At 41.5% G+C, this 15,477-nt stretch overlaps 1 protein-coding gene and 1 long non-coding RNA gene across 33 annotated transcripts in view, besides 1 other annotated feature; one reads left to right on the forward strand and one right to left on the reverse strand.

Moving 5' to 3' along the window:
* The window catches only part of GALNT11 (polypeptide N-acetylgalactosaminyltransferase 11), a 96,667-nt gene that overhangs the window by 79,237 nt on the left and 1,953 nt on the right, over positions 1–15,477 (forward strand). For 24 of the 32 annotated variants that reach the window (NR_163959.1, NR_163957.1, NM_001371458.1 and 21 more), the window contains 6 exons: positions 335–460; positions 3,128–3,377; positions 5,618–5,735; positions 8,336–8,488; positions 12,247–12,465; positions 13,768–13,872. Coding sequence is in view for 28 of the 32 variants with exons in the window: in NM_001371458.1 (NP_001358387.1) it covers positions 335–460; positions 3,128–3,377; positions 5,618–5,735; positions 8,336–8,488; positions 12,247–12,465; positions 13,768–13,872 (971 nt within the window). In the remaining 4 variants the exon portion in view is untranslated. Of the gene's footprint in view, positions 1–334; positions 1,226–3,127; positions 3,378–5,617; positions 5,736–8,335; positions 8,489–11,993; positions 12,129–12,246; positions 12,466–13,767; positions 13,873–15,477 lie in introns of those variants that run through there. The other 8 variants (NM_001371467.1, NM_001371466.1, NM_001371465.1 and 5 more) reach the window with 4 other exon arrangements.
* Positions 1–15,477, reverse strand: part of LOC731075 (uncharacterized) — a 33,378-nt gene that overhangs the window by 3,716 nt on the left and 14,185 nt on the right. The window lies entirely within an intron of this gene.
* Positions 2,579–3,778: an enhancer, noted in NCBI's record as "BRD4-independent group 4 enhancer chr7:151804574-151805773 (GRCh37/hg19 assembly coordinates)". NCBI's record gives its function as "activates an origin of replication core promoter dependent on BRD2, P300/CBP, MED14 and CDK7 cofactors, and independent of BRD4, by STARR-seq in HCT116 cells {active_cell/tissue: HCT116}" and the evidence as "EXISTENCE:reporter gene assay evidence [ECO:0000049][PMID:35650434]".

A 15,477-nucleotide genomic window follows, 5' to 3' on the forward strand; every position in this document is an offset into this window, starting at 1 on the left:
TGATTTATATATGGTCAGCTGAACATTTATGCACTCAAAATACTCATTTCAAACATTCTTTGTGCAAAGCATTGTGCTCGATGCTATGGAGATACAAATAAGTCTGTAACTAAAGTAAGTATTCCTCTTTGCTAGTATTCCAGCTCTTACCCTTCATTTCTTTTTCTTCCTACAGGATAAGCTACAATACTCTTTTAAAGTAAAATATTCTGTAGTATTTGCTTGATAGTTTGTTGTAAATTTTAGCAAGTACTAGATACAACTTTAGAATAGCTGTAAAGTGTCTTTATATATGTCTCATACAGTTTGAATAATTGTGGGACTTTATTTTCAGATGATTTGAAAGGAGAACTAGATGAATATGTCCAAAAATACCTCCCTGGAAAAATTAAAGTCATAAGAAATACAAAGCGTGAGGGGTTGATTCGAGGGAGAATGATTGGCGCGGCCCACGCGACAGGTATCACTTCTCGTTAGCTTTGCTCTACAGGTGTTGGATGACAAGGGCTCGAGCCTCAGCGCCTGTCCTGATTCTGCAAAGTCTATGAAGAGTAGTGTTTCAAACGGACATTGCCAGCAGGAGAGATGAGGCTTGTTCTGTTTGGGAAAGACCTGTTCATAACGCCAAGCCTGCCATCCCAAAGCACATAGTGCAGGGGGCTGAACTCTCAAATCCTCAGTGTCTATTTTCATAGCAACCCTTCTTTGATACTTACTGCCCCTCAAATATATTTTATATCTTATTCACTTATATAAGCAGAAAAGCCCAGACCAAAATGTAACTGAATTTTTATGTTTTTAAATACAAAATTTAAAATGTATGAACCCAAACTGTCGATTGGAACTATGCTTTTAACTCTTAGTGCGGAGTGCATCCCTCTGGAGCCACACATCATGACTTTAATTGGTTAATGGACGTAAGATTGACTTACAAAACTATAAATGGCATTTTCTTTAAAATTCCCTCTTAATCCTTCTGATTCCATCAAGGAGCAAGTCTCCGTTGTTACTAGTATATTTCCATCATACACTGCTCTCCCCCTTTAAAAAGAAATAACCGATCTCAAATTCAGTCTTCTGCAGAAAATATATCTGGTTAGTCTTCAGTTACGTTATATTGATTCTGTTGTATTTCGTTTTATGGTTACCTATGTGTAATTGGTCTCCCTGAGTTTCATTTATGACTGTAATTAAAACATTTTTAAATAAATGTAATTAAAACTAATGAATCTGTTTAAAAATGTTAGGCATGTGATATTGCAGGTAGGGCATGGACATGGCGAAAAAATTTTGAAAATCATTTGAGAATGATGGAACTTGGTGGGGATATTCCCTAGCAGTGACAGCATCTACTGCAGTCCTTCCTATATTCCACGCTCTCCTAGATAACCTGCCTCTGGGTTTGTGGTGGTCGGCACTGCTCACCACCACTCCCCCTGTGGAGCCACTGGCTCGTGTGCTGGGCTGAGTTGGAACTTCACTTTTAGTATCTGTCTTCTCTTATTTCTCTGAAGCCCACAGTGACCTGAAGCAATTAACAAAAAAAAAAGAGAAGCAGCTCCTCTACATCCTATCTGCAGTGGATGCAGACTGAATTCAAGGCTTGTGAGACTTTTTTTCTAGGTTTCTAGTCATGTAAAAACTTACTGAATTGGCTGTGTGGAGTTATTTAAGGCAAAGCAATAAAGTGAAAATCCTGGGGTATTTTCAATATTAAGCCACTCAAAACATTGTACTGTTACAATGCAAGTTTACTGTGAACTGACTTTTTTTTAGATAGCAATAGCTATTTAGGTTTTTTTCCCTTATGATCTCTTCAGGTCCTCATTGAGATATAGTTTAGGATCTGTCCGAAGCAAGCCAGTTTGCATGGAAGTCATTGTTTCAGGTTCACTGTGACCAGATGTGGTCTTCCTTTAAATTGGTGTTAATTGGAAAAAGTAACACTTTTAGAATTAAGAAAAGCTCTGAATCCATTTTCTCCTCGAAGCAATTGTGATTGGTCTCACCTCACCCCCACTGATGTGCATGTGGAAGGTTCTGCCTTTCTGCATTAAGTGACAGCGGAGAGCTGCCTACATCCCCCACCCTTCAGGCTGTTTACAGACACTGAGCTGTGGGACTGATTCACGGGCATCATTGAAAACTGTCTGAGATACTGCTTTTATCACTAGTTGAAGTTGGATAGATAACATTTGGTGCTTTAAGTAGTTCATGTAAAATCTTCATACATTTCACGAGTGCACTTTTAGAAAAACAATAATGTGACCTGATGATGTCATTCTGAGTTTCTCAACTGCTCAGAAGAACCGTGGAGCTCTTAAATTTGAAATTATAAAAAAAAAAAAAACCTCAGTTCTGCTCACATTTATCAAGAGGAGCTTAAAATGCAGAATAAAATGTCGATGATTTATATGTTGCTAACTAGAAGAAAGGTGTATCCCATTGGCAGGTGAGAGCCACTGAAGCTAAGAGGGTGGGGGGCAGTAGAAAGGAAAGGTGGGAGATGGAAGAAACAGAAATGAGCAAGAGGCGTCCCCGAGAGCGCCACCAGCTGCGCCTCCCTCTCTCCGGGGAGAACTGCTGTGTGGCAGCCATCATCCATAGTTACAGTGCATGTCCTAGTCACCAGTGAGAAGGCAGCTGTGTTCTCTGTACTCTGTTTACTGAGGCAGAGAGATGTCTTCTAAGTGTGTGCCAAACTTCAAAATATTTTGATTAAAATAATTGTAATAAAAATACCTACATACAACTGGCCACCGTCATGGCACCAAAACATCTTGGAATACTCAATATCTGGGCTTCCAAAGAGTTGAGTTGTTACGGTGAGACTTTGACTCTGTTTACTGAAGAGATTCTGAATTGCCTGTCAGTTTTTTCAAGAGTCGCGCGTATGATTTGTATGGGTCCCTCAATCACAGCAGGACACTGCACGCAGCATTACTGGCTGAGGGACGTCCTTGTTGACCACCGGCAGTGAAGTGTAGTGGAGCAGTTAGGCCGTCTGGGGCTGGGAGGGTGGCAGTCGTGTTTCATGCTGTGTCAGCGCGTCATCCCATTGGACGGGTGGTTGTACCTAAATTGAGTGTTGTGACACTCTCCTGAGCCTCTGTTGTTTCCTCCCCAGGAGAAGTCCTTGTGTTCCTGGACAGCCACTGTGAAGTGAATGTGATGTGGCTGCAGCCCTTGCTGGCCGCCATCCGTGAGGACCGGCACACCGTGGTGTGCCCAGTGATTGACATCATCAGCGCCGACACGCTGGCCTACAGCTCGTCCCCTGTCGTCCGCGGAGGGTTCAACTGGGGACTGCACTTCAAATGGGATCTTGTCCCCCTTTCTGAGCTAGGACGAGCGGAGGGAGCCACTGCACCAATAAAGTAAGATCGCTCCTTTGTTTGACAAATTCCTACCAGTGCTTCCTTAAAAGAGAACAAAATGATATTAAAGATAATTCCTCCTTCTTTGTAAGGAGCAAAAGTGTTAGACTTAATTTGTACGTTAAAAATTCTTGAGTACGTATTGAATTTTATGCAGTCTGCCAAGTCCTAAGGAAAGATTTATGAGTAAGACAGTATGTGTGCCCTCAAGGACTTAGAGCCTGTGAGAAGAGCAGACAGACCAGGCCACCATTGCAGAGGAAGCCCTGGGAGGGCCCCGTGTGGTGGTTGCTGTTTGGTATGTCAAACACTGCGGTGTATTTATAGTTCACTAACTTACCTTCAGTTCTTTGGTAGCCGGAGTGATGTTGTGAAAAACATTAATACGTAAGCCTTTTCTTTCATTAGGATTTTGAAGATGGATTCCTGCTAGTATAATTACTAAGTCATAGTATAGGAATTATTTTACGTTCTTATCTGTGTTTCATCTTCTGTAATATAAAGCTGCTCTTATTTTTGTTTTCTTTAAAAATTTCTTACGTAGATTGAATTCAAAGAGGTGTACCTGTATTTTAACTTTTTAAAGAATACATTTGTTCTTGATTTGCCAGAGTGTAATCAAAATTGGTACTTTCTCCAAACAATGCCAGGATCTCAGAAGGTTCACGTTTCAGTTATTCCTCCCCCAATTTATTTGTTATTGTTATTATGTTGTTATCGTTGCTTATTTGTTGTTATATACAACAATATTGTATATTGTTATATAATTTAAACCCCAGAAGCCATTTCTTACGTAGCAGTATTCACACAGGCTTGCCCAAGTATCTCCGCTTTATGTTACCCTGTTCTTTCTGCAGCTGTAGGCTCTATCCGGGATTGCTCCCACACTCTTAGTCGTTCTTTTAGTTGGACATCCTAGTGATCAGTCCTCTGTTTTTCCGAAAATGTCCTTATGTTTCACCATTGTTTTGAAGAACATGTTTACTCAGTATCCAGTTCTAGGTTGGCAATAGCAGACATATATGTTCTTTCAGCCTTTGAAGGCATCATTCAAGAACCTTCTGGCATTCACCGTTTCAGACAGGAAGTCAGCGTTGTTAGTCTTACTTTGCTTCCCTTAAGATAATCTCTTTTTCATTGGCTGCTTACATTTTTTTTGGTCTTGTTTTTAAAAAGTGTCTTTTGGATATGTATAAACATGGTTACTTTTTTGAAGTAACTAATTTGCTGCCGAATTCTGCCTTGTCTTTTTTGTTGAATATACTGAGCAGTTAAAGTCTTTGCTTGATAATTCCATATTTGAAACCCCTTCATATCTGTTTCTGGTGTATGTTGTTTCTCTCATTTTGTTTTCATGTGATTTTATCTTCCCATTTGCCTGGTTATTTATTTGTTGCTTATTTATTTTTGCTTAGTGCCAGACATGATATATGAAAAATTATAGAAATACATTCATACCTGGGATGATGTTTTTTCCCTGCAGAGATAATTTTGCTTCTCTTGTGCAGGCAGCTTGGGCCACTAGAATCCACAATCCCCTCTATCCAGTTTTAGGAAGTGAGCGGACTGGAAGCTAGCTCGAGTCCCTGAGAGGACTAGTCTGTGGCTTTTCTCACTCCAGCACAGGGCTTCTCAGCCTTGGCACTACTGACATTTTGGGCCAGATAATTCTTTGTTGTAGGGGCCCTCTTGTGCATTTTAGGATAGGTAGCAGAATCCCAGACCTCAACCCAGATTCTAGGAGCACCCTGCCACACAAACACATCAAGATGTGACAGCTAAAAATGCTCCCAACATTATGAAATGTCTGTTGGGGACACAGTCATCCCAGTTGAGAGCCACTGGTCTAACTTGTGTGAGTCCAACTCCCAACGTGTGATGTTTGTCAGGTCTCTCCTTGGTGGACCTTAGAGCCCAGTTTTGATCCCCAAGGCTCTGTGAGATTGTCAGAAGGAATGACCATATCAGGTGGCTTTCCATCAGAAATGGTTATAATAGGAAAAGAACTTTCGAGACTTAGAAAAGTAGCCTTCGTATGCCAGATACTAGCATATTATTAGCAATCTAGAAAATTCAGTTGTATGGCCTGGCTCATTCTCTGATACTGGATAAAATGATTCATAATCATTAATTCAATTTTTATTAGTTATGTTCCAAAATGACACTGAGTATTTTAAACAAAAGTAGTAGGTAAGATAACTGACTATAAGGAATGAGTACAGTAATTTTCCTTTTTCTAGGTCACCAACAATGGCTGGAGGTTTGTTTGCCATGAACAGACAGTATTTCCATGAACTTGGACAGTATGATAGTGGCATGGATATCTGGGGAGGAGAAAATTTGGAAATATCATTTCGGGTAATTTAATTTTTGCATGCTCAATTAATAACTGTGTAGTGGAATATGATTTTCATCCATGATCTCATATTTTCTTTATATTCTCCTTGATTATTTTTTTTTCGAGATAGGGTCTTTCTCTGCTGCCCAGGTTGGAGTGCAGTGGCGTGGTCATGGCTCACTGCAGCCTTGACCTCCTGAGCTCAAGCGATCCTCTTGCCTCAGCCTCCTGATTAGCTGGGACTACAGGCATGTGCCTGTAATTTTTCTATTTTTTGTAGAGATGGGCGTCTCACTATGTTGCCCAGGCTGGTGTCGAACTCTTGGGCTCAAGTGATCCTCCTGCCTCGGCCTCCCAGAGTGCTCCATGACTATCTTTATTGACAAATTGTCCTTAATGAATGCTACTTTGTCAGAATCTGTGATATGGATAATATCTGTTCGAAATGTCAAGAGTATACATGTTGATCCATTGGCTAGGAAAACAACAACAAAATGAAAAAGCATGTAAGAAGCCATGTATTTATTGGTATTTATTTTTTTGAGACAGGGTCTTGCTCCGCTGCCCAGGTTGGAGTAGAGTGGGATGAATACAGTGGCTCACTGCAGCCTTGAACTCCTGGGCTCAAGCGATCCTCCCACCTCTCAGCCTCCTAAGTAGCTGGGAGTACAGGCGCATGCCGCCACACCTGGCTAATTTTCTACTTTTTGTAGAGATGCGAGTCTCACTATGTTGCCCAGGCTGGTCTTGAACTCCTGGACTCAAGCAATCCTCCTGCCTTAGCTTCCCAAGGTGTTAGGATTACAGGCGTGAGCCACTGTGCCTAGTCTGTTTTTATGGATTTAGAGGTACAAGTGCATAGTGTGTGGTGGTAAAGTCTGGCTTTTAGTGCACTCATCACCAGAGTAATGCACATTGTACCCAACAGGTAGTACTTCATCCCTCACTCCTCTCCCATCTTTTAGAGTCTCCAGTATCTGTTATTCCACTCTGTGTGTGTGTGTATATATATATATATATTTTTTTAAATTATAAAAGTATTGTTGTAATGAATGGTTGGATATAAATTTAAAATGTCTTAATGTGCTAATTTAAAGGTTTGTTCTTTTTTTGTTGGTTTATTTTATTGATACTACCAGATACATATAGTCATATAGTCAGGGTGACCAGATTTCCCTGAGGCCTAAGACCATCCTAGTTCATACCTGTTCTCTTGGAAAAATAAATAGCTTCCCATTGTACTTTCAGAAACAGCTCAGTTTGATGCTGCATTATACCATCACCCCATGTATAGCTTACCAAGTCCTTTGTGTATACAGGCACCCCTGTCCCGAGGAGGAAATCCACCTCGCATTATCTGTCTTCTCCAATTGCTAAGGTTTGAAAGGTGACAGCATAGGTGGAGTCTGTGGCTCAGAGGACCATGGTGTAGACAGTCTTTGGGAAAGGCAGAAAGAGGGCGAGGGGAGAGCTGAGACTTCTCCTTCCAAGCAAATATCCCAGTATTTCTCCCAACCATCTCCTAGTCCAGTTAGCAGAATCCCTATCAGATAATACCATGATACTTGTTCATATGTCCTTCTGTATTTCTGCAAATGTATTGACTACAGTATTTTTAAAAAGCAAGTTTTGGCTGGGTCCATGGTGGCTCACGCCTATAATCCCAGCACTTTGGGAGGCCAAGGTGGGCTGATCCTGAGGTCAGGAGTTCAAGACCAGCCTGGCCAACATGGTGAAACCCCGTCTCTACTAAAAATACAAAAAAATTAGCTGGGCGTGGTGGCGGGTGCCTGTAATCCCTGCTACTCGGGAGGCTGAGGCAGGAGAATCGCTTGAACCTGGGAGGCAGAGGTTGCAGTGAGCCAAGCGCCACTGCACTCTAGCCGGGGGGACAAGAGCGAGACTGTGTCTCAACAAAAAAAAAAAAAGAAAAAGCAGGTTTTCATTCTGTAAGTTTTAGAATGTTAGGGTTAAAGGCGTAATAGATTTTATTATGCTTCTTATTTAATAGATTTTATTATTAAAAGTTCAGTCTCTTTTTAGATAAGGCAATCTAATCCCACAAAAACGAACTTAACTCCAAAGTAATTCAGATAGTCAAGGACAGAATTTAGACCAGAGCTAAGGTCTTTTGAATCTTAATCTGGAGTTATTCTATATATTTTATATTAAAAAATCTGTTTTCCAAAAAAGAATATGCATTGTATAAGCAAGTACCTGTGAAACTAAAATGAGAGAACAGGTAATAAGCACTTCTTAAAAGAAAATAAATAAATAAATAAATAAAAATAAGCACTTCTTGTTCTTAAGTGCCTAAGATCAAGTCTCTTGATCTGTTAAAGCAACAAAGTTGGGTAAGTGCAATTTCAGACTTATGGTAGTAAATGCTGACTATAGCATTGTTTTAGCATTTAGTTCCTTGTAATGATAAAGACAGACAATTTCTAACAATGTGTACCTTCTCATTTCCTTCTATTTGAATATTTGTATCTAATAAGATAAATATCTTGCCAAGTTTCATAAACACCTATTGAATAAAGATTAATTTCATTGAAAATTCATACATTGGTTTCACAACAACATGAGGCAACTGTTAACACCTGTTTTTGCTTCTGGCCAGATCTGGATGTGTGGCGGTAAGCTCTTCATCATCCCTTGCTCTAGAGTAGGACACATTTTCCGAAAAAGGCGACCATATGGATCTCCCGAAGGCCAGGACACCATGACACACAACTCTTTGCGGCTGGCACATGTCTGGTTGGATGAATACAAGGTGAGATGAAATTTCTTGTTTAGAAGGATGAATGATAGGCCGGCAGTGACTGGCCTAGTGATAGCTTTAGTTGCTTACTTTTCACTCTGGCATATTTCTCTTGGTTAACCTTCACCTTAGGGCCAACTCTTTCTAGTTTCCCCCCACCCCCTTCACCTAGTACTTCACTTCTTTCTGGTTCTAATCTGACTCTTTTAATTTTGTAAGTGTCTACTCCATAAGAAGTAATGCGGCTAATGTTGGAAGAAATTCCATCTTCAGTTTCTTTATTCCGTCTGGTCTCTCTATTGTGACGCCTGCAAAAGTTGGCTTTCTTTTTTTTTTTTTTTTTTTTTTTTTTTTTTTTTTTTTTTTTTGAGACAGGGTCTTGCTTTGTCACCCAGGCAGGAGTGCAGTGGTGTGATCACGGCTCACTGCAGCCTCAGTCTCCTGGGCTCAAGTGATCCTACTGCTTCAGCCTCCCAAGTAGCTGGGACTATAGGCATGTGCTACCATGCCTGGATAATTTTTTTTAAAAAGTGTTTTTTTTTTTGTTTGTTTGTTTTTTTAGAGATGGGATCTCACTGTGTTGCCCAGGCTGGTCTTGAGCTCTTGGGCTCAAAAGATCCTCCTGCCTTGGCCTCCCGAAGTGCTGGGACTACGTGTGTGAGCCACTGTGCCAGGCCTGGCCTTTTCTTTTACTCATTGGACTTCGTGGTGACCCAATCCCGTTTCTTCCCCTGTTAGAGGGCACATTTAGAATTACTTCCCACTTTCTCTTCTGCCTTAGGTCACTTTATATATTTTCTTTGTAATGATTTATTGAAGTATAATCCAAAAATTGATTTTGGAATATTTTATCACTGCAAAAAGAAGTCCATAGCCTTCGATCATCTCCCCAAAGTCTCCCTCTCTGCCTCAGCCCTAGACAGCCAATAAGCAACCATTAATCTACTCCTTGTCTCTACTTAATTTGCCTTTTCTGGATATTTCCTACAAATGGAATCATAAACTATGTGGTCTTTTCTGTCTGGCTTCTTCAGTTGAGCATGGCGTTTTCAGGTTCATCCGTGCCGTTCCATGTATGGGTCTGCATTCCTTTTTATTGCCAAATAATATTCCATTGTATGAACAGACCACATTTTACTTTATCCACCAGCTGATCAACATTTAGGTTGTTTCCACTTTTTTTTTTTTTTTGAGACAGAGTTTCACTCTTGTTGCCCAGGCTGAAGTGCAACGGCGCAATCTCGGCTCACTGCAACCTCCACCTCCTGGGTTCGAGTGATTCTCCTGCCTCAGCCTCAGCCTCCCGAGTAGCTGGGATTACAGGTGTGAGCCACCACGCCTGGTTGCTGCTGTATTTGTGTATAGCTATTTTTTAAACATTTGTTGTGCACCTCCTGTATGCCAGGCTCTGTGTTAGGGCGTGAGCCACCACGCCTGGTTGCTGCTGTATTTGTGTATAGCTATTTTTTAAACATTTGTTGTGCACCTCCTGTATGCCAGGCTCTGTGTTAGGTTTTGGGGGATAAAAGATGAATAAGGAAGTGCACAGTAATTTTTCACACCGTGAGGGAAATGTCAACAGAGACATGTAGCTTGTGCTGGAATGACAGGGACACAGTGGTGCACTGTGTTTGGGGGCAGTAGGGACTCCACAGTGCTTCTCCTACAGCACTGTTTATCTCCCCTCTCCCTCCTTGACCAGACTTTGAGGTCTAATTCCATGCTCATCTCTGAATCATCACTGGCTACCATAGTTCTCAACACATGGTCCCACTCCTAGCCACTCTTTGAGGAGGTCTGCCAGTTTAAACTCATTTTCATAGTCAGGTTAATACAGTATTTGCCTCTTTGACCGTGTTGACATTGCACTGAGTGTGTAAAATCAGGGGAGTAAAGTGGCTGGTGCCTTAGCATAAATCGAGGCATCAGCACCCAGTTATACTGTAGTCACTGCATTCTTCACCAGCACTCACTCAGAAGACAAAGGCCAGCTGCATTTCCGAATATCATTGATATAATAATAATTTTAGTAAATCTCAATGTGCCTTTTTAGTATCCTGTGTGAGTATGCGTGCTCATACAAAAAGCACTTCTGCTGTGTACTGAAGTACGGTGCTTGGTTCAAGGAAAAACACTTGTGCAGTTGTTTGAGTTATGGGCGGAGCTAGCGGCTGCTCTCCAGAACACTCTTTTTATATGTTAAGACTGACTCACAAACCATAGTTACTCGTATTTGGGTAAAACGAACTAAATAATGAAAATGAAAACAACTGACAGTATTTGTTGCAAATGACAAAATTCAAGCCCTCAAGTGAAAATTAGAATTTTGAAAAACTTACATTTACCGCCAGGAGCTTGACAGCTTCCTAGTACTTAAAAATTTTACTTGGCCGGGTGCGGTGGCGCATGCCTGTAATCCCAGCACTTTGCGAGGCCGAGGCAGGAGGATCACCTGAGGTCGGGAGTTTGAGACCAGCCTGACCAACATGGAGAAACCCCATCTCTACTAAAAATACAAAATTAGCCGGGTGTGGTGGCGCATGCCTGTAGTTCCAGCTACTCAGGAGGCTGAGGCAGGAGAATCGCTTGAACCTGGGAGGTGGAGGTTGTGGTGTGCCGAGATCGTGCCATTGTACTCCAGCCTGGGCAACAAGAGTGAAACTCCATCTCAAAAAAAATTTACTGAGGAGATCAGTGGTTTTATATATAATTTTTTGATATTGTATAGTGAAATTTTTCAATATTTGGTAGAACAGTACAATCCAGTGGAGTAGTATTTTCCAAATGACTAATCCACACTGTTACAAAAACGGGTGGAAGATCCATTCAGAGAGCAAGACAGACCAGGAGATATTATTTAACTTTATTTATCTTTGTTTTTTGAATCAGAGTCTTACTCTGTTGCCCAGGCTGTAGTGCAGTGGCACGATCTCAATTCACTGCAACCTCCACCTCCCAGGTTCAAGTGATTCTGCAGCCTCGGCCCCCAAGGAGCATGCGCCACCACTCCCAACTAATTTTTGTATTTTTTCGTAGAGACACGGTTTCACCATGTTTGGCCAGGCGGGTCTCAAACTCCTGACCTTAAGTGATCCGCCTGCCTTGGCCTCCCAAAGTGCTGGGATTACAAGTGTGAGCCACTGCGCCTGGCCGATAGACCAGTACATTTTAATGCAACAGTGTAAAAATCTTAATATGATTTCATATTCCACATCGTAACTAGACTTCGAAAGTTATTGAATTTTGGAGTAGTATTAACCCCATAATTATATATAGGTTGTAATTTTAAAAATACATATATTTAACCAAAACAACACACTGCAACAGGCTAAATGCAGATGTGAGAATTTAGCTGGCTTGTTTTAAGCCAGCCAGCCAGCAAAAAGGTTTGCAAAAATAGAAAGCAGTGTCACTGTTCTCACTACATTTTGTGTTTGTAATGAGTATTTAATTATTTTAAGGAATTAATAATTTGTAGGTTTCTCTGTTTTAATTTCTGTGTGATAAATATGAACAGACACAGCCCACACACGCAGACCCTCCTGGGAGTTTTCCGTAATTTTTAAGAACATCGATGACTGAGACTCACGAGTTTGAGACCCACTGATCTCATATATACGCCTGTTTCATTGATTCTCAGATACAGTTTAAGGTACATGTTATTATCATTGTTAGTAATGGACTTAATCGTGTAAAAAATCTCTATATAGTTGTATCATCATTTTTAACAAAAAATTCGATTTTCTTATTTTTACTTTTTTTAAATTCAGGAGCAGTATTTTTCCTTAAGACCTGACCTGAAGACGAAAAGCTATGGCAATATCAGTGAGCGTGTGGAACTGAGAAAGAAGTTGGGCTGTAAATCATTTAAATGGTATTTGGATAATGTATACCCAGAGATGCAGATATCTGGGTCCCACGCCAAACCCCAACAACCCATTTTTGTCAATAGAGGGCCAAAACGACCCAAAGTCCTTCAACGTGGAAGGGTAAGAAAGCTGTTTTTTCCAAGTGGCTTATGAAAAGCGTTTGATATGAAAAGTTTTGAGGTGTCCATAAGCTATGACAGGTGACACTGTGGACTTAACAGAGTGTAATGACAGGCTTCAGCTTGCCTTTCATTATATTCTCTTTATGGGAACTTCTCTACGCAAGTGTAGGACCTCAAGTGTAGATCCTTGCCTTGCCGGCATAGCTGCCTTCTGTGAGGGTAAGTTATGTGACGCTTTCCAAGAGCGCAGAGGCATATGGGAATACACCCCGGACAGAGGCCATGGAAGTGTCAACTTCGTGTGTCAGAGGCCAGGCCAACAAGTGGAGAAATGGGGCAGTGATCTGCTATTTGCTCTTAGCTCTGGGAACCAAATCACAGAGCAGAGGTGGTAGTGAGGGTCAGAGTGGGGACATGGATTTCATGCCTGGTGTTCCCAGAAGTCATCTGAGCTCAGCAGAAAGCACATTGATCAACCACATTTCCTTAGCTGTCTTTGTGTCTTAAACTCATTACAGTTATATAGTCACAGTTAAATTGTAGGGGTCCGGCCATAAAATCATCCCCTTCTCCTGAGTCATCTCTTAGAGTTGGCTTCTAAAAGCTAAGGGCAGGTACTGTCTGTGTTGCCCAGTGTCCCTTCTTTTATGAAGAAGGCACTTCTCCCAGAGCAGTGTCAACTCTCCCTCAGTGGCTAGGAGGAAGCCTAGAGCTTTCCCCCTTCCTCTTCTCTCTACCCTATAATAAGACAAAAACAAACCCAGTATCAGGATGTTTAGTGTCAGGTGTTTTTCTCTAAGTAGGAGAGAGCAGTGTGTGCCCATGTAGTTGATCGCTTACCATTATTATTTCTTGCTGTTTGTCTCACCCTCGCAGTTCTGTGATAGTTGTCACCGGTGTCTCTCCAGTGTAGCATGCATATTGCATTTCATTGTGTACTTTTTTATACATGTTGTTCTTATATCCCTGACTTCATTTGAAGGTTCTTTAGGGCAGGGATGACATTTTAATTTCTTTCATCTGCTGTAGATTAGTAAACATGTATATGTAGCTAGAATTCCTAGCTGACACTGTCTGCATGTTAAAACTGCTAATAACTTTTGGAGTTATAACTTTTGTCTATCTTGATGCTCCTGTGTTCTGAGGCTAGAACTTAGGAATTAAAAATGCATATATTTTTATGAGCCTTGGAATTCGTACCTCCGGAATAACCTTTCACATTTTGCCTGGAACCACCTCCAGGCTTGGGAGGCGTCTCTGGGATTGTTTCCCACATTCTGAGCTGTGCCTTCTCTTACAGCTCTATCACCTCCAGACCAACAAATGCCTGGTGGCCCAGGGCCGCCCAAGTCAGAAGGGAGGTCTCGTGGTGCTTAAGGCCTGTGACTACAGTGACCCAAATCAGGTGAGTGACACCTCGGGGCTCACAGCCAGTGTCCGCAAGGAGGCTTCCAGTGTAGGGAAGCTGCTGCCAGTCACTCCTGAGGACATCAGTGTCTACTATTCTGGCTTTTCTTAACCCATTTCTGTGTAGTGTTGCGTTATTGGAACGCTAAGCTTATGGGGGTTATCTATATCCTAGTGCTCAAGGTCACCGCCAGGGTCTGATTTTTCACCGAAAAAAACTGCAACCTCCAGCATAAATGGGTTAAAAGGAAGAGAGTGGCCTTAGATGACACCTCAGTCAGCTACTTTCGTCTCCTTTGTATGTTTTTCCTATCTCTGCTCGTCGTCATAGAGCATTTTAGTTGTTTACACCATTATTTGTACTTTCTAATATTATGCGGAATAAATTGTGACTTACGAGCCATAGGAATTTGTTAGAAATGGCCAAGGGAAGCACTACAGAATTTCAGTTGATTCCATTCACCTAATTTCATTTCAGCTTATGTATGTCTCCTAAATAATATTAAAACGGGCCTAAAAATCAGCAAATAACTTCAGTTTAGAACGGTAATTTCAAACTCGTTTATGTCTGATAAAATAGCATAATGGAACAGCAGTCTAATCTCATAAATTGTAGTGTCTCATTTCTATTTTAGTGGTGGGTTGGTGTCACTCAGAAAGGAAAAAAAAAGCCACTTGGGCTTTTGGGTAAATAATGTGTGCTGTGATGTGTGCTGTGAGATGTCATCCAGCGCTCCACCAGAAGAGGTCACGCCCACTGTCTCAGGTGATACGTGTGTTGAAAATGTAGTTTAAAAGGGATTTCTGGGGCCCAGTGCAGAGGCTCATGCCTGTAATCCCAGCACTTTGGGAGGATGAGGTGGGCGGATCACAAGGTCAGGAGTTCAAGACCAGCCTGACCAACATGATGAAACCCCATCTCTACTAAAAATACAAAAAAAATTAGCTGGGTGTGGTGGTGCGTGCCTGTAATCCCAGCTACTCAGGAGGCTGAGGCAGGGGAATTGGTTCAACCTGGGAGGCTGAGGTTGCAGTAAGCAAAGATTGTACCACTGCACTCCAGCCTAGTGACAGAGTAAGACTCTGTCTCAAAAAAAAGAAGGGATTTCTGTGCATCTTCTGGGTAGAAGAGGTGGCAGTGTTGTGGAAGTATTAAAATCGCGGTGACGCAGTTTCAGTGGTGTAGGTCACAGTGAGATGAGAGCTGAAATTTGTTCCAGAAAATATAAGTTGGGGTGATGGAGTTATCCTATTCTAAGGCTAACTTAGTTATGCTTATTGCTTAGTTATGCTTATATGCATAGTTGTGCTAATTCTGTAGCCACTAGTCACATTTCAAGTGTACAATAGCTGCATGTGGCCAGTAGCTCCCTTATTGGACACAGGCTATGAGACAATAACAGTGTTGCAGAAAATTCTCTCACAGCTCCCTATGACTCTGATTCAGGGTCTTCATATTAGTGAACACTGCACACATCCATTTGGGTTCTATGAGTTGAAGCAATGAGTAAATAGAACAGAAGAGAATAGGTTCCTTTTGAGCATAGTGATGGCGCATGTTGGAGAGTGAGTTGTTCACTGCACTTGCCATGTCACCCAGTTG

This window comes from Homo sapiens, chromosome 7 (assembly GCF_000001405.40).
Source record: "Homo sapiens chromosome 7, GRCh38.p14 Primary Assembly".
NCBI lineage: Eukaryota > Metazoa > Chordata > Mammalia > Primates > Hominidae > Homo > Homo sapiens.